General features: G+C 33.7%; 1 protein-coding gene across 4 annotated transcripts in view; it reads right to left on the bottom strand.

The window, feature by feature from the left end:
* The window catches only part of FBXL17 (F-box and leucine rich repeat protein 17), a 523,064-nt gene that overhangs the window by 157,411 nt on the left and 346,304 nt on the right, over window positions 1-19,349 (bottom strand). For all 4 annotated transcript variants that reach the window (NM_001163315.3, XM_005272048.5, XM_011543574.4 and 1 more), the window contains exon 7: window positions 4,480-4,556. In NM_001163315.3, the coding sequence (NP_001156787.2) occupies window positions 4,480-4,556 (77 nt within the window). The remainder of the gene's footprint in view (window positions 1-4,479; window positions 4,557-19,349) is intronic.

Genomic DNA, 19,349 nt, shown 5'->3' on the forward strand with positions numbered 1-19,349 from the left:
AAAAAATATCTCTAGAGTGTATTTCTAGGGCCCACAGGAGTGCTAAAGTGAAAAAAGAATGTGACAACTCAGAAAGAAACCTGGGTCATTTTACAACTGCCCCCTGACACAAGGTTCACAATGGTAATATTCACTGTGGAGACACTAATGGAGATAAGCGCTTTATTCATCCATCCCGTTCAGTACACCATATGAAGTGCTGTGCGGCCCAAGAGAAATACCACTTCCTCCACAGGCCTGAGTGACACAGGTTGATTTCACCTTCTTGTCTTCTTCTTAATCCCAAGGACACACTTTCCTGAAGGAAGTAAATTATCTTTTTTTCTTTCTTTCTTTCTTTCTTTTTTTTTTGAGACAGAGTTTCGCTTTTGTCGCCCAGGCTGGAGGGCAATGGCATGATCTCAGCTCACTGCTACCTCTGCCTCTCAGGTTCAAGCAATTTTCCTGCCTCAGCCTCTCGAGTAGCTGGGATTACAGGCATGCGTCACCACGCTCAGCTAATTTTGTATTTTTAGTAGAGACGGGGTTTTACCATGTTGGTCAGGCCGGTCTCAAACTCCTGACCTCAGGTGATCCACCTACCTCGGCCTCCCAAAGTGCTGGGATTACAGGGATGAGCCACTATGCCTGGCCTTGAAGGAAGTAAATTTTCAAAAGAAAATTGAGCAAAAAAGTAGGTTGGGAAGTATTTGCTGACAAATTGTTCCAGGAACAAAGAAAAGCACAAGGGGAGCAATGAGAAAATTATCCACATAAAATGAAAGTAGCACAAAGGAGAGATAGGTGAGAAATCTACGACAAGAAGGCAAATGAAAGGTTTTAGACTTTTTGCTGTATCTTTTTCTATTGCCTACTAATAATCTTGTTTAGCTAGCTTAGCTCTGGAGATCAAGTAGGCAGGTATAGACTAATGTAGGTCAAATTTCTAAATAATGATTTCCACAAACAGAAAAGTCACATTTGGAAGAGGAGAAGGCTAATTCTTCTTCAGAGGGAAAGAGAAAGAAGATTCTGTATGACAAGAACTGCCAATTAGTGAGTGTCGACTATGCCACCAGGCACTCCACAAGTGTTTTATATTGATTTTCACTAACGTATGTGGCATGTATCATCACGTGGATTAACAGATGGCAAAACTAGGAAGTTAAGTAACTTGCTTTAGGTCACAAAGAAAATAAGTGGCAAAGCTGGAATTTTAACCGAACTCTCTGACACCTAAGTTTGATTTTTTTTCCACAACACTGCCAATGACATACATTTGTTCAGTGATAAAGGAATGACAATATTATATTTCTCTTTAGGGAGCAATTTCCCAAGACTGTATTTTCTATTTAGCTGTGTCTGAATTATTGATTTGTTTATAGTTGCTACCCTTTACCATAAATATCTATGTTCAGTTTGGGGAGTAAGAAGCCTATTAGCATGATCGTTTTCTTTATGACAACTATATCATATATCAATTAAAATAAACATAACTCTGTAACAGCCTGGCCAGGTGTTACCAAGTACTATAATACTACATTTAACACCTGTGAGAATCTTGACAAAAATTACAAATGATATGCCAGGTGAGGAGCTGTTCCTGAATCAATGAAGCCTGTAAAAAAAAATAAAAAATCTCAGTATACTGTACTAAAAGAATGTACATACCCACCACCATAGAAAGAGGAGGCCAAAAACAGACTCACCAGCTTGAATACGAGTAAAGCAATAGGAAGCAGAATCATGGGGTAGTCTCTTAAAGGATGAATTTCCCGCTGTATCAGATGTACATCAAATTTTACAATTTCTAAGTAGCTTCAATAATCAAAAAGTCCTATAGAATATGTTTCTACTCGTCCAGTCAAAGAAGGAAAAGGGCATCTGCTTTTTGTTCTTAGAATTTGTAATAATAGGGTAGGGGGGACACAGTCTCTCCAGCAGTGCAGTTACCTTTAATAACATGCTGTTTCTCTGGTTACAATGAATAATCTTTTTGCTGCCTCTTTGACAAAAATTACTCATATAGCATTGGCATTGTAGTGGGTGAAAAGATGAGATGAGCTTTCAGTAATATGTTTAATTTTATAATCAAATAGCTATTGTAGTACGATCTCATAACCTATCAACATTTCCCTCTCTTCCTCAATTGTGCGCCAACATTTTGGAGAACAGAATCAACAGATGCAAAAACTTTCACCATGAACCTTTTGAATACCTGAAATCCTAATGAAGAAGGAAGGTAAGATGGGGCAGAGAGCTTGAGAGCTGGAGGGACTGAGGTGCAAGAAAAATCATGATCAATTTCTTATCACCACGGAGAGGAAAGTCCACAAAATTTTCACTTCCGATTCCGCTCAAATGGACAAGATCAGTTGTCAACTTTGCCTGACATTATCTTCATTTAGGCAAGTTTTACAAAATGACTGGTTGGGCCCCATTTCATAGAAATTCTAATTTGACTAGTTTTAGGTGAGGCTTATACGTCAATATGTTTTAGAAACTCTTCAGACAGTCTAATGTGCAGACAGGGTTGAGAAACACTGAACTAAAATAATTCAGAGACACAAATAAATGTAAACCATATTGGTAAGGTTTTAACATAAACCTCTTCTAAGACTTAGGAAAGGAAAGGTGGCAGAAAAATTCTAAGTGAATCTTGTTTTTATCCCACTCCTGTAGAAAAACAACACTTACTAGCAGTGTACACTGTGCTACTCACGAGGTTAGGTACCAGATACATACAGAAGCATGAAGTCAGACATTAATTCCCCATTTTACAACTGAGGAAATGGAGTGTCCTATATGTGAAGGAACTTCCCTAAGGTCAAAGAACAAAGACAGAACTTGATCCCAGATCTGTCTCAACTCCAGAGCTTTTTACCTTCTCAATTATCTTCTGGAACATTTCTTTTTGTACTTGATAACTTAATAGTAGGTGCTGGGCACTGCCTTTGTTATGACATGAAGTATCTCTATGCCTTCAGGATAAAGTGTGACTTTAACAACATTTTACACTGCAGAATCTCAGAAGAGTTCATTATAAGGGATTTACTATCCATAACTCCTGGCTATTAGCTACCTGACAATTGGCAGTGAAAAAGGGGGAAATATACAAAAAGACTGGAAGAGCAGGTAATGACAAGTTTCAAATGAACAAATCAAAGTATTAGTTAATTAACAAATCTACATGGGTATATATACAATATACATATATAATACACACATACACACACACACACTCTCTCTCTCTCTCTCAATATGCCGTGTGTTGGTCAGGGAGAACTCTTTAGGGTCTAGACAATGCAAGACATAAGAAGTTTTAGAGAGATAACCATGTCTAAGTAGCAATCTAATTGCCAAACCAGAAAACAAACAACGTAAGTAAAGAAAAATATATCAAAACACTACTTTTACAAGGCAAAATTAGGAAAAAACTCACAACCCAGAAACATTATAAGACATATTCTCCAAGATAAACTGAAATTAGGTGTGTTTCTAAATGTAAAAAAAAAATTAGATTATTTTTAAAATTATAGCTTCAGTAGAGTTTAGTAAAATTTTTCAAAAAGATGAATTTAGTAGCTAATAAAAGACAACTCTCCCATCCATGGTAGATGGTCAGTGTGACATCCTAGGACTGGAGTCATTTATTATTATATGTCAGAGCTAACAATAAAAACTTAATGGATTATTAACTTCCCTCAAGGTAGAAAGAATATTCTCAAATTTAAATGAAAAAATCAAAAAGTCAGAGAAAATAAACGAAAACCATTTCATTCTCTTATAAAGCCTAATATATTTTCTGCTTAAAACTCTGTAATTAGATTAAATACACAAATGGTTAAGAAAAAATTTACAAAATTAAACAAAAAAGGAAGGGCTAGGTTATTTTTCTTTATTACTGCGACAATATGACTTCATATTTTTCATAATTGTAGAAAACAACTTGCTTTTCACCACTTTAAAAGAATATTGAAATGTAAGATAATTTAAAATGTTGCATATAAATGTATACCCTTTACTTCCTATATCCACAAATGGACATTCCCAATGCTTTCCAGAATTTAAAGTGTTAAGAAGTTTGGCATTTAGAATGTCAGCAGATATGCCTTTGATATGATATTACATTAAGCAAATAAACTCAATGTAATAATTTTCTTAGTTATATTTATTATGCTCAACATTTTATTGTTAAACTTATTTTCATTGTATACCTCTTTTAGCTATACTTTTTAATTTTGTGTGAGTGTGTGTGTGCAAACATACATGTGTGCATGTGTGTGTGATTGCATGTGGCAATGAAGTAATATGCATATTCATTTTACTCTGGTTCTTAGCTCATAATTTTTTTATTTTTATTTTTTGGTATGGTCACAATGAGCATAAGTGACGATAGACAGTCTCTATGATATAGTTCTTGATTTCTTTTTAAGAACTTTCAATGATTTTGTAACTTTTTATTCTTAGAAAGGATTAGGAAAATGGTTCATTACCTACCATAATCTGTGATTTTACAGGACACCAAATATAGCTCTTTCAGGTTTTGTCCTTCCTTTGCAATGACCTCCACACACCTGAAACATACAAAAAGTGGTTATACTAATGCGTTTCAAGTTAAATTAGCAGGGGTTTGAATATAATAGGAAGAGGTCAGTATTTGGTGAATGCCACAGCTTCTTTAATGGTGTTTCAGGAAAGGTATTATATTCCCTGCTTTAAAGTCAAGTGCTGTCATACCTAAATGACTTTATTTAAATACATTTATGACTAGTGCATCTTTTAAAACCAAACAGCTTAAAAAGAAATATTCCCATAAGAGTAATGTTACATTTGGTAATAAAAGACTAGTAAACATATGCTATTTAATGAATATATATTATTTATATAATAATAATTTATTATAATAGAACTGTAGAATATAGATAGATCGTTATTATAGGTAGATGGTTATATGCTCATGGTTCAATTATTAATGATGGAATTAGGTAGCACTGAAATAGTATTTTTTGCAAAATTTTATTCAACATAATATCAAATATATTCTAAAAAGCTATAATTTTACAGATTAAAGATGAAAGAAAATATACACACATAACTTTAAAATCTTTTACTTTAAAGTATCTTATTCTTAATATTGTAAGTAATTTGTTGTAAAGGTTTAGGCCATTTTAACAATATAGATACAGATATGTAAGACTGTCTTTTCTGGTTTCATTTAAGTTTCATTTTTTTTTAATGGTGCACTCTGCTCTAATAGGCCTAGCGGAAGTTGTATACAGATTCGAATGAACTTTAAAAGTAATGATTAACAATATTATCCATTTTGTGGCTCAGTTTCCTATAATATCAGAAAAATTTGTGTAGTCATACAGACACACAGGCAAATGCACCCTTCAATGCAGTCCCTCTTTTAATCTTTATAAATAACAGTTAAGTAAAAGGGTAAAAGCAAAAAGAGTCATTAACCTTTTCTAGGAAGTAAGGATCAAGTAATTTGATACCTGTGTGCATAATCTATCAAAAAATTACTCAGTATCCATCTCTGTCTTTCCTATATTTTATTTGCTGTCTGGCTTATTTGTAGGAATCTTCATAAAATGTCAGGAAATTTTATACAATTTTACTTCACATAATTCATTATTGAAGGTTAAATTAGTTATAGAGAAGACATATATGTTTTTTAAAAATTTTTTATGGAATTTTGTTTTAATGGAATGATAAACATTTCAAATTTCCTCAGAATAACCGAATAAACATTATTTTTCTTCCCCTATTCAAAAAAGATCTATAAAAAAATGGATAAACTTTTCCATGTCTAAAACAGGAAACTTAAAACAGCAACACAATGCAATTATGATTGATACAGGTTGTGAGGGAAATTTTAAAGCCTAATTCCACGTCATTTGGTTATAACATAATATTTAAATAAATTCATTTAAAAAAGAATAAAAACAGAAACGAAACATTACCAACAATAACAACATTTTATATGGTAAAAACTATTTTTACACGCTAAGAGTACAAATAAAGGCCCTAGACTATAATATCCTAAATCATTAAAAAATAATCTGACGGCTTTCTGTCAAATCAAATATACATATCTCACTGTCCTCTTCCATTGCCTACCAAAAAAACTAACACATCCAATATTTTGTGTGGCCACCAAAAATCATTAATTGCAGTTTGTTCTCATGCTCTATTTGAATAGTTCAAAATGCCTGATTCATATTTGATTATGCTCTAAACAAGTGCAATATCCTATTTATCTTCCTTGTACTTGATTTTACATTAAATATGCTATAAGCACATATGAACATTAAAGACATACAGATGACTACAAATAGCAAATGACACAAATTGACTTCACTGTACAAGCCAAGTCAAATGTTAGTACATAAGCAACAAGAACCAACATTTATATAAAATAAGATGATCAATCACTGGATAAAGACTGTCCTAAAAACTGATAAAGGGTCATGAGCATCAGGTTTCCCCGCTATTCACAGAGAAAAGTTCAAGAGGTGTAGACAATTATGAATACGTATTATAAAATCATTTAGCATACTCAGGAGGCAATACAGTGGCCAAGAGACAACACATGATTAAGAGTGAGCAGTGTCTTTCAGATAAAAAAGGGAGAAATATAAGAGAAAAGCAATTTGCTTTTTATAAAGAATCACCTAGCATTTCTGCTGTTCTTGAAAGTTCAGGTAAACAAGGTTTTCCAAATACTTTTAATTACCTTGATCACAGCCAGTGTGCTAAAAGTCATGTACAACATAAAATTATTCCTGAAGTAAAAATTCATGGAGACAAAACCATACTCCTTGGAAAACTTGTAGCAAAATATTAATTTTATATCTGTTATGGATTTTACATTTGAAAAGAGAAACCCCAAATTCTGTGATTTTGGACATAAACGTCATATATACTGAGACACAAAATTGAGTGGTTGAAATAGGTAGATAAAGTAGCTGTTGTTTCAAGAATTGAAAATGGAAGTGGTTTGTATTATCCCATTACTACAAATTGGTGGAAATGGAACACCACCTCATGTTCCCGGCTAGTGTCTAAAGTCTCGTAATCCACCTATGTCGCGTTTCCCTGGCAGCATGTGGTGATAGCAGTTCATGATGAGAGATTGTGGGTGGTGACTATCCTTTTCTCCTGAAACTTTTAGAGTCCATTCTATAACATGCTTACAAGTAGTACATAACACAAGTCTGTGAACATACTTACTTTAAATAATTCCACTGTTTCACAAAGAATCTTGGCTCTAGTCATAACCTTTGGTGTATTAAAATCAGAGCAATTCCCAGCTCACTGTATAGTATGTATGCAAAAAACAAAGTCATAAATCTTAGTATGGACTACAGGTACAGCAAGTTAAGAGGCATTTATAAACTGATACCAATAAAAGAGAGAAATGTGTGCAAAGTGATAATCTTGAAGTGAGAAGGAGAGTGACAGAACCAAAGACCACATTTAAAATGTTTACTTCTTCATCACCTTTCTTACAGATACTACATAGAAGAACATTCATTAATCATAGTCATGAATTAGTTTGGTCTGTAGGAGCAAGCCATGAGTCTCTAAACTCAGAATCTAGAATTCAAGTTATTCCTATTTTTCCCCAACCCCTTGTCCCCATCACTCCTATAGGCAAAGCTCAGAATATCACATGGCCATTCTCTATGGATCAGTAGGTTCAAAGATTTCCCACTTCATGTATGACAACATAAGGAGTTATAAAATTTGGAAAAAGAACTGTCTCCTTACAGAAAGTATCCGTGTATAAGATAATTAAGAAAAATTCATAACATGGGAAAATGGCATAGTGGATAAATGCTGAGGAATATCAAATACTTTTAAAGTAGCTCATGAATGTCAAGCACAATTAAGATTACTAAACCCTAAGGAGAGATCTGTCTTAACAAGAGAGAATAAAAGAATCAAAAGACATTCTAGTCTTACCTCCAGGGAATCACAGAACAATCACGTACATTTTTTGGAGCCCTATATCATCATTCTCTACAAGATAACTCCATATGAAAAAGTTATCCAAATCAAATGTCTTCGGTTCATTTAAATATACTTTAATTTATTCTGAATTGCCTACCCTCAGTTTATTTTCCTGCTTTTATGTTTTGGCAGGGGTCTGAAGAGAATTAAAAAAAAGACATTGCTACCATTGTAAATTCTTGAGTAACAGCTGTTGAGTACATATATATAAACTCTTTTGGAATACAGAGAAAGGGCCAGAAAACCTGCTCCAAAGTATCCTAAGCATCCAGAGTTATTTTTGATAATAATGTAATTTTATGCTCACTTGGTTTTGATAATGTTCTAAAATGCACCTGAAACATTTGATGAAATATGAAAAGCAACAGAAAGGTTACTTTGGTAAGCTAGATAGGATTTTTTTTCAAAGATGAGAAGGCATTACTTACTTTCAGTGGAGGGAAAATCTGTCTCCTTAGCAATAGATTCGTAATCATATGATTTATGTGAAGGGTAAAGGTTAATGAATTAAGCTGTGTAAGCTTCAAAACTATCAAAGGAATTCAAAAGAGCCTTGAATTATGGAAAACAATGGCCCATTCTACATACATACCAAATTTTTATGTTTTTTTGTCTCCTACTCAAAAGCTAGAACATGGCATTAGTGACAATTGAAAAGAACTAATGAGGAAATATGACTACATCGCTTGCAATAGGAGTGTCCTAGGAGACCTTGTTACTGTTTGTGATGTGCTTCAAACCCTAAAGAAGCTAATTGGAGCTGCCAGACACTGGTTTGCAAATCTCACTTTAAAGGACAGGCTCCATCACCTCAGAGGTGTGAAAAGAAATGTCCCCAGCAGAGATGCATTAGTATGTGGCTTGGTGAATTTCTAAATAAACTTTAGGATGTTCTTTCCTAAGTCACTTTTATATTTGAATAATAGATATATCTTTAAGTGAAACACAAATGCAACAAGACAAAAACAACCCCACAGATCTAAAACAAAGAACTATGAAGAGTGTCGTAAAGTAATTGGCAAATAAGTGCATCTGGGAGCTAGGTATGTTTAGGTTGAATAAACGTGTGGATCAAACCTCAAAACTCCTGAAACAAATCATAAAAGTGATCTATTTGGGGTTTTAGAAATAGAACCTCATTTTCATCATTTCTTGAAACTAAACAAGCCAAGAATCCAACCTATGTTACATAGATGGTAAGTGGGTAGGGGCTTAAGTAGCTACAACACATACACACACACACACACACACACAAACACACACACACACGCGCGCGCGCACACACACACACACACACACACACACAGGCCCCACACGAAAGGAGTAAAAATTGTTTACGAGATCTAAAGAGAGTAACGAGAGCAAACAGTCCAATTCCATGCTGCAGAAGCTCATCCCCACTAATTCATACGTGGGTCATTTAAATGATAGCAGAGGTCACCAAAACACAATTTGGTATCTTACAGAAAGAATAATGATATCTGATTGATTTTTCTAAAGCTCCAAATCAGGTTTTACTGAAGAATAATCCAATCCCAGTGCAGTAAACGAATGGGTATAATTTATAGGTTTACTCTGCTTTCAGAAAATGCACAATATAAAAGATTTCTATGCACAAAAGAGGTAAATTTACAAGTAAACTTTTACAAGATGAGTCAATTCGAGAATCTATTAATACACTTGATCTCAGTCAAAAGGCCAAGAAGTAATCAAGTATCTATTAATAGTATGCTTCCCCTTAATACATTTGAATACAATTTCATTTATGAGTCTTATATTTATAGTTACTTTTTCTAAGTAATAGGACATCTTAACCTTGCAGAAATGGCATGAAATAGTTTTTTTTTAATCTTCAAGTTAAACAGCTATACATAAATGACAAATATAAGATTATTTCTGGAACATGACAGATGGTATCAAGGTGATATGTTAAATCCACTTTGTATTTTACAGTATACTTTTTTTGTAAATGCTCTTCTATTCAATCCTATTGACAACACAATACCAAATATACACCTAAGTCAATTTTTCATGTAAACTTCTAAAGATGTGCTCATAGAAGAGATGTTTACCGCAAGAAAAATTCTTTTTTAAAGGTTGACTTGCAATTAACATGCGAGAGCATTTGCTCAAAGCACGTTCTTAATATACCACAGGGGCAAAGACTAGGAGTGACATGCAAAATATCACCAACTCCACCAGTTAACAACAATTATCTCCGGACACTCATTAAGTTCTCACTACCAAATGTTATTCTCTAGAAAGCCAATATCTGATTAGTGTGGCTGAGATTAATTTAAGCTCTTGCTACTTAAACAATAGCAAACCGATGCCCATTTTGTCACACTGAGAAGTAATGGAAGGCTACAAAATTAGAAAAGCAGTGTTTTGTTATTTATGTTTTAATGAGACACATCACAAGAGGTGGCCTACAAACTGAAATGTTATTAAAACTTAAGTACTACGGGTTTGCATCTTTGCCAACAGAGGGTGTCCTTTAAGGAAAAGGAGGCAGAGCAGATGTCATTTGCTGATTCTTTCTGGACCACTCTCTCCTTGAGTGTCTAACATTAAATAGGTTTTCTCATTGGAGAACAGGATTTAGCAATGAAAAAGTAATATACCAACAAAATAATATTTTTCATATATTTAGGAATGGCCATCACAAACCTGCTGTTATGAAAATACATTTTTCTTCATTTATATAGTAAAATGTTTAAACTTAATTTGAGTGTTTCTTAGAATACTTTAAAAATGTATTTTAGACAGAATAAAGCCTGCAATATTTTAAAATGCACATTTTCTTTAAGCTACTAAGAAACAAGACGATTAAATGTTTTTCTGAGGGGCAGGTACAGAAATTGAAGTAACAAACTTGCAATAAACTTGGCTCTGGCTTTAATATTTCAGATCTACTTAACCAAAAGTCTTGCTTTTTAATTTTAGCCATTGATCCATCCATTACCATAACTAACTAAACCTTACATAACAAGTTAACATTTTCTAAGCATTCCTCAGAATATGCAAGAAGCAGAAAAAAGATGCTAAGCTTTATTTATTAATTAATTCACTTAATTCAAGAATGTTTCATTGAGTGTAAACTATGTTTTAGAAATACTAAAAGATATAATCAAAAGCCACATTATTATAAAATGATGAACATAATACTTATAACCTTGATGGATCAAATATTGTTTATTTTTTGTGACTGTAGTTGATATTAATGTTCCTACCTAGGAGCAGCAAAGTCATATTACTATCTCTATAACTATCAAAAATCAACTGAAGGTCAGCATTTCCTTTAGTCCTGTAAATAAAATATTTCAGGACTAAAGGAAACGCTAGAAAAAAAATTAAAGGCAAGCTTTCCTAATTCACCAGTTTATTCATTCTTCGGTAGAAACACATGTAGTTAGTTACTTTGAATAAGGAAATGCTAAGAAACCTCCTCCATCTTTTAAGGTTTGTGAGTTTCCATCAATTCATAATCCGTAACTCTAATGGAATCCAGATACTGTAAAATTTTGATATAGTTAAGACTGGTGCTATCTTTATGGTGTTCTGGCATATTTTAATACAGACAGCAGAAGAGAAGACTTTGTCACCCTACATGTAACAAGGATTTACCATGTGGAAACAAAAGCTCAGGACCCTAGAAAAGCAGAAATACTAAAACATTTAAAACTACAATCTAGGTTAATGAATTGTAATTCTTTAGAGACCATTCTTGTCCTGAAAAAGAGTCAGGCAAAATTCTGCAACTCGAAACTGATGCCCACCACAAAAACATTAATAGTGAAAACTAGAAACATTGTAAAGAGATTTGTCAGGGCTCCAAATAGCTAAAAAGGATACCGTGAAATTTAGGTGAAATATTAAACATATAATTGATGATAATCTCTCTGCCCAGCCTGTTCCCTTTATCTTAACTGCTATAAGTATTGATATGAAAGTCTCAGTTCAACAGAGCATGTATTTTAAGCTTACTTTTAATTTAAAATGGCTAAGACTAAATTATTTTAGTGGAATATAAAAGCACTCAGAAGATGAGATTTCAGGCATCATTCATGAAAGAGTTAAGCACTTCCTCACCAGAAGACAGCCACAACTCTGCTTTGCAGTGACTAATTGCCTCTTTAACCCCTGTGCTCTGGGAGTTGGCCTGTGCTTCAATACTAGTTTTGTGCTACAGCCAAAGACTGATGTTCAACACAGACCTCCCATGACCTGTGTAGCCAAGGAGGCAACTCAGACAAGATGCTGACAAAAGGTTTCCTTCTCATTTGGGAAGGCATAAAATCTCTTTTTGGATAAGCCAAATTCTCAGAAGACTACAAAACACAGGAGGTAAAGATAATTTATAAAAGTTAAAGGAATGGTTTCTCACTTGAGCTAAGAATGATTCTAAGCATCCCAATGTATCACTCAAAATTTTGTTCAAAAATGGTTTTAGTAATACGAAAAAAAAGTTTAGTTATTTTAAATGCAATGAAGACGGTACCTAATTTGATGCCTTTGAAAGCTTATAATTAGATAGCTATAATCAAATACAGAGGAAAGCAGGTCAACATCTTCATTCCAAATGTTTCCCGTATGCTTTAAACATTCATAACCAGGAAGCCTGCACTTTGTCATTAATTTTTAAGCCTGGCAACTTCTGGTTTGATCAAAAACTAATAAAAAAATTTTACAGGAGATTTTACATAGAGATTATACAAAACTAATTAATCCTGCAAGCAGGATGGCAGAATAGGATAGTCATGACTTCTTGTTATTTTTTAAAAGGGAAGGAATGAGGAAGGAGTTGTAGATTAGGGAGCAGAAAAAGTGTAGGCAGTGGGAACAAAGTAACCCACATATTCATTCAGAAATAAGAAAGGAGAAGAATCACACAAGCTTGAGGAAGGCAGGGACCTACATAAATTTGACACTATTGATACTTAGCCAGATTGTACTCTGAATCCTTTGAGTCTCAAGGATCATCACTGAATATATAAAACCTGCTTCCAAAGCTCTTGGGACTGCCATTGCTTTACTCTTATTTTTCCCATATAATTGCACATTAATGTTCACATCAGAGGCAAATCATCTTTGCTGTAACATTTGTAAGAAAGAGGTAGCAGGTCATGTTAAGTTGTTTTGGTGCACTGTGTTTATGCAGAGAGATAACTTTTTACTTAAAAAATAATTCTTTTTATTTATAGAAATATGTGGACTATATTTAAAAAAGAATGTGACAATAAAAGGCATCAACCAATAATTCTCTATAAAAATTATGTAGTTTATTTTTTTAATCCAAAAGAAAGGAAGATAGCTGATTTTGGTTATTTTTTTTTTAACCGAAGGATAGAGAAAGTCTTCCACATTTCCTTTTTAATGTTCAAGTAAATGCTATAGGATTAGAATTCGAGATTCCAGAAGAGGCTATTGAATCTTACGTAGCTTCTCAGGCTATCAGGCCATTTCAGTGGTTCCTAACGTTAAAAAGTCCATTTGTCTGTAAAATAAATATACTTCTAGAGGTTTCTTTCTAAACTGTTTAATAATGCAAAAACTTGGTTATAAATAACTTATAATCAAAGGACTATGTAGTATACGTGTACATGTATGTACATACACTTATGAAGAGAACTCTTAACAAATATATTTTTTCCTTATCAATATTGTCACTAAATCAACAAATACATAGTTGTTGTGTGTGCACTAAATAAAATAATTTAGCAGCCTAACCTCTGAAATACCATAATCACAAAAGTCCAGGTTGCTCTGCATGGATTAGTCACCAGTCTATTCCCTCTGAAGAGAAACACATCTCTGTTCATAGGGAGAGTGGTGGAAAGCTAATGAAACCAGTGTGGAAGACTGATAGAGACCACAGGGAGGAAGTATTACCCATTTTCTCCTTGCAGAAAGTTGCAAAAGCAAGACAGTAAGTAAACACGGAGAAAGGAGAAGGCACATTTCACTATTTGTTTCAGACAGTGGGTACCTCTGCAGGCAACATCATGTCTGACAGCCAGCAGAAACAACCAACATTCCCAATCCAGTACTCAGATTTGCGTTATTTTAAAGGATAAACCAAAATGAACAGTGCATCTCTTTGGCGTATTTTGAAATGATCTACTATTAATTAATACAGTTACTGTTCTGTCTGCATAATCAACAAACCATTTAGCAAAAGAGAGTAACTGTATTAAAAACTTCTGCTCTACACAAACAGCACTCCTTTCAAGTACCCAACTAAATAAAGGCATAACATTCTGGCATTCTGTGAAAGAAAGATTGAGAGTTCAGGAGAAATAGTTTATTATTTTCAAAAGTCATTAGTGGAATAAGGAAGGGGAGCAATGGCAGGTGTTTGAAAGAGATGGCAGGTAAATGTGCCTGGAATCAGTTGGTCAGTTTTGTGCTTCTATAGGTCGTGAGGGCATCATGAATTCCATCCTGGTAATGACAGAATTTTATAGAAAAAAATAAAGTTAGAGCATAAATTCATTTTTTGGAGATCTTTTATTGAAAGGTAAGCACAGACAGGGTCATTAGATTCACAATACTATTAGGCCATTTGGCAACATTTGGGGCTCTGGGAAAAGTAAGAGCAATTCAATGACATATCGCACTCTGAAAAAGGTGACAAATTATAAAAGGTAACAGTATAAGCAAGTTAGCGAATGTGGATATATACTCAGGGAAGCATTAGTTGAGTTAGTAATTTAAGTTTGTGGAGAGAACACTGTAATGGGGAAAAAGAAAAGAAATAATACTCCATATATTGCACAATTACTAAGGAGCCCAAATTTATTTTAGCTGTTTACTTATATTTAGCTGTATTCGATTAGAAATTCATATAAAACTATAAAAGAAATATTTGAGAAAGGCAATGAGGGTAAAAAATAGGTAGAAAAATAATAAAATCTGGGATATACCCATCCTGAAGGCATTCATATAATTCAGACCTGGAAAGCTTCCACAAGTGGGATAAAATTTCAAGCTTTCAAAGAACCAAAGAAAGAGGGAAGCATGGTAATTTATGCATAATATCATAGGAGTTAAAAAAATCAGATGTTCAAAAGAAGCTACAAAAAGGCTAGATATGCTTGAGGCATTTCTGGTGGAAGGCTGACGTTTTAAGAAAGTTCAAAGTATTCTGCATCCATTTAGAAAATGTCCTCCCACTTCTTAATAGCATTGTAAACTTAATCCATGAGAAACTGGTCTCTCAAAAAAAAGTTTTAAAAATCAGAAAGTATCATTGTACATGGTTAGCAACATAATACAGTAATAAAACAGAGATGATACTTCACTACACCTGTATTTTACTGAATTTTAACACTTCAGGTAGAAAATCAATTGGTTATAGATAATGGAAATGCATCTGCAATGCTGACTGCCAAAATTCTGTGTGTGTGTGTTTAGAACCTGGTACTGAAGTTGGGAACTAAATTCAACTTCTCTAAGTCTCTTCTATAAAATGGAAACTACAATATCTACCTCCAAGGATTTTGTGAAGGTTACATTTCATAACGTTTGCAAAGACACTTTTAGTCATTTAACAAACATTTGCTAACATCTACTTTGTCATTAATTATTTGGATACAAAGACAGATAAATCTCTTCCCAAAGGGAATTCACAATCTTCTCAACTTTAAATATCCTCCACATAAATAAGGCAGGGTTATTTAGAACAAAATAGTATTTCCTAAGGTACATTTCTCAGAAAACTAGCACTCTGGGGCTTTAATATTTGACATATGCAAGAAACAGTAAGTTTATGTTAAATCAAGTCCATTTTTTTTTATTTAGCAAAAATACAAATGTAAAGTACGTAGAGCAGCACCTAGCATACAGTAAGCAATTAAATGTTATTTATCATTATTGAGGCCCTAGCATGGAACCTGGCACACTTAAAAAATACCTGTAGTAGGCCGAACGGTGACCCCCAAGGACATCAGGTCCTAATTCACAGAGCCAATAAATGTTACCTTCCATGGAAAGAGTGTCTGCAGGTATGATTTTGAGATGGAGAGATTTTATCTTGGATTATCTGGGTGGGCTGTAAATGCAATCACTAGCATACTCACAAGAGAGAGGCAAATGAAGATTTGACACTGACAGAGAAGAGAAGGCAATATTACTACAGAAACAGAGATTGGGGTGATGTGGCCACAAGCCAAGGAATTCCTGTAGCTATCAGAAGCTGGAAAGACAAGGATTGGATTCTTCCGTAGAGCCTCCAGACAGGGGATGACACCCTGATATTGGCCAGGGAAACTAGTTTTGGACTTCTGTCCTTCACTATTGTGAGAGAAAATGTTTTCATTGTTTTTAAACTACAAGGTTGAGGTAATTTTTTACAGTAGTCACAGGAAACTAATACAGTGTCTAAGAATGATATTAATCACTGGATTACATGTGTAACACCAAGGAATTTGATTTATAAAGGTAACATGTTAATGGCAATTAAGATGATGTGATTGGATGGAACAAAATTTTAAGTTGTTGTGACAAAGACAAAAAAAGAAAACCTATACTTAGAGAACGCTACCATATCTTCAGCCTGAATTAGAATAAATTCCAAAAGGTATGTATTTAAAACTTGAAACTTTTTTAGAATAAAGACTCATTTTCCTCTGATATAATGGAAAATTTCAAGTGAAAAAGTTGACAGAATTGTGTAGTAAAAAACCCATTATCCATCACTTAGATTCTATAATTAACATTTTGCTATATTTGCTTTATCTCAGATGTATCCATCTATCTCTTTATTCATCCCTGTATCCATCCATCAGTTTATCTTATTTTTTATGCATTTCAAAGTGCAGACATTGATACATTTTACTCCTAAACACTTTAGCATACACATCATAAACTACAGATGAATGTTTGTTAATGGTTATTTATTAAGTAAATTTTACTCACTGTGAAATTTGTGATGTGGGCACAAATCTTAAAAGCAATCGGTTTTGACAAATGCATATATATGTCTACCTCGAACCCCTAACAAGATCTAGAGTATTCCTAACACCACCGAGTTCCTTCATGCCCAATGCCCATTCCCACTCACAAATGCAACTACCGTTGTAGATGTTTTTGTTACTTTGTTTTATTTTACAGTAGCTTAGTTTTATCCATTTTCTTTTGTGAGTAAAAACCTAAAAGTGAAATTGCAGAGTCACAGAGTATTAGTAGTACACACGTAGTAGGTGCGCAATTAGTTTTATAAGAAACTGCCAAATCTTCTTCCAAAGCTGTTATACCATTTTATATTCCTACCAACACACAGAATTTTAGTTGCTCCACATCCTCAACAACATAGATGTTATCAGGCTTTCAAATTTTAGACATTCTGATGAGTTCGTAAAGACGAGTTCAACATTAAAAAATTTAAAGATTCCATAATAACAATTCTACTCTTATTATTTTTCATTAAGGAAATACACAATGACAAAAAGTAACTAGAAATTGGGTAATATTTTTAAAGTAATTCATATACTTCCTGAATTTTGAAAAAGTGTACAAGACATAAAAATATATATGTGTCATATAATTAATGCATTTTACAGGCAATACTTGTTGTAAACCCCATGCAATAGCTTTCTGGGCCCAGATAACATTTCACATGCTAGTTCTTTGGGATATCTTCATGGTTAATTCTATTTATTTCATCACCTTTATTCCAAGCAACCTACATATCCAGCAACGACCAGACAACTTCAGGACACACACCTTTAGTCATTGCATATAGCCCTCAATATTATATTACATGTAGTTCTCCACTTTATCTCTAATGAGTTGAACTGGAAGTTGGGAACCAATTTTAAAATCAGCCCCAAACTGTCATCCTTGTTAGCATCAGGCTTTTCATTTAAGGTTTCTACTCTAACTGAATACTTGATGGAAGACCTTACATAATGTTGTAACTTAAAAGGTACACTGCTTATCCTATCACCGAAAGAATTCTTAAAATTGTGTTGCCAGAAACTGGATTAGGACTCTGGCATTAGCCAGCAAATAGTAAAGCTAGATACCATGTACCTCCCAGCAGTTTTCTTCAAATCACTGAAAATAAAAAAGGAATTTCTTTTTTTTTACTATTTCTAATTAATACTTGAGTAAATTGCTCAATTTTAAGAAACATGCAGTTATTTATTTTCATAGCTATGAATACTGTATATGAAATAAAAATCTTCACTGAAACATGCTAAAACCTTAGAAGTTTTCAAATGAACATAAAGCTGCTTTGTATTATTAGAGAGACAAACTATTATTTTTCATAAGATTAATGTTTTAAAAATGGAAACCACTGAGAAATAACTGCAAAGTTAAAAACTGTATCAAAGCTTTTAAAAGTCATTTTACACTGTTACACTATTCAATTATGCCATATAATTTTCAGAATATTCAACCTAATTCTTTTTAAAGTAAACTTACTATCAACCTCAAGGTTTTCATTTATTGACATGAAGGGTAATTTATCTTCTCTCATTGTTCTTTATAATGTTTGGCATTTTGAAGCAATGAAAGACTATTCACAGGAACCCTTCCCCCAATAAACATTACATAATTTTTTTCTACTAATGATCTAATACAGAAAGCCATGGAAAGTGACTCCAAATTACTCAATTGTTTTCAAATTTAAAGAAATTGATCTCTCAGTGTGTAGTTATGTACCTTTATAGTTATGTACCTTTATAAATAGTTATGTTTATACCTTTCTTCTAAGAACAATGATTAGAATCAATGTCTACAAATAATTGCAAAGGAGAATAAATGCATACTTATTGCAAAAATTAATACAGAGTCCAAATCTGTGAGTTTAAAAATCTCTCATAATAGCTAGCATAACAAATGCCAAACATTAATTATAAAAAGACATTCAGAATTATGTGGGAGAGGAAGAATTTTTTGTTCGTTTGTTTGTTTTTTTCTTTTCTGAGATGGAGTGTCGCTTTTGTTGCCCAGGCTGGAGTGCAATGGCGTGATCCTGGCTCACTGCAACCTCTGCCTCCCAGGTTCAAGCAATTCTCCTGCCTCAGCCTCCTGAGTAGCTGGGATTACAGGCATGTGTCACCATGCCCGGCTAATTTTTGTATTTTTAGTAGAGACGGAGTTTCTCCATGTTGGTCAGGCTGGTCTCAAACTCCCAACCTCAGGTGATCCACCCGCCTCGGCCTCCCAAAGTGCTAGGATTACAGGCGTGAGCCACCACATCCGGCTGGGAGAGGAAGAATTTTTACATGGCCAGCCAGCTTTGTATTCACACAAATGCAGTACCACCATATTTATTATTGAGCCTTGTTTCCAATGCCCATGCCCAGCCACCTTAAGTCTAGAGTTCAGCCAAA

The sequence above is a fragment of the Homo sapiens genome, chromosome 5, assembly GCF_000001405.40.
Source record: "Homo sapiens chromosome 5, GRCh38.p14 Primary Assembly".
Lineage (NCBI taxonomy): Eukaryota > Metazoa > Chordata > Mammalia > Primates > Hominidae > Homo > Homo sapiens.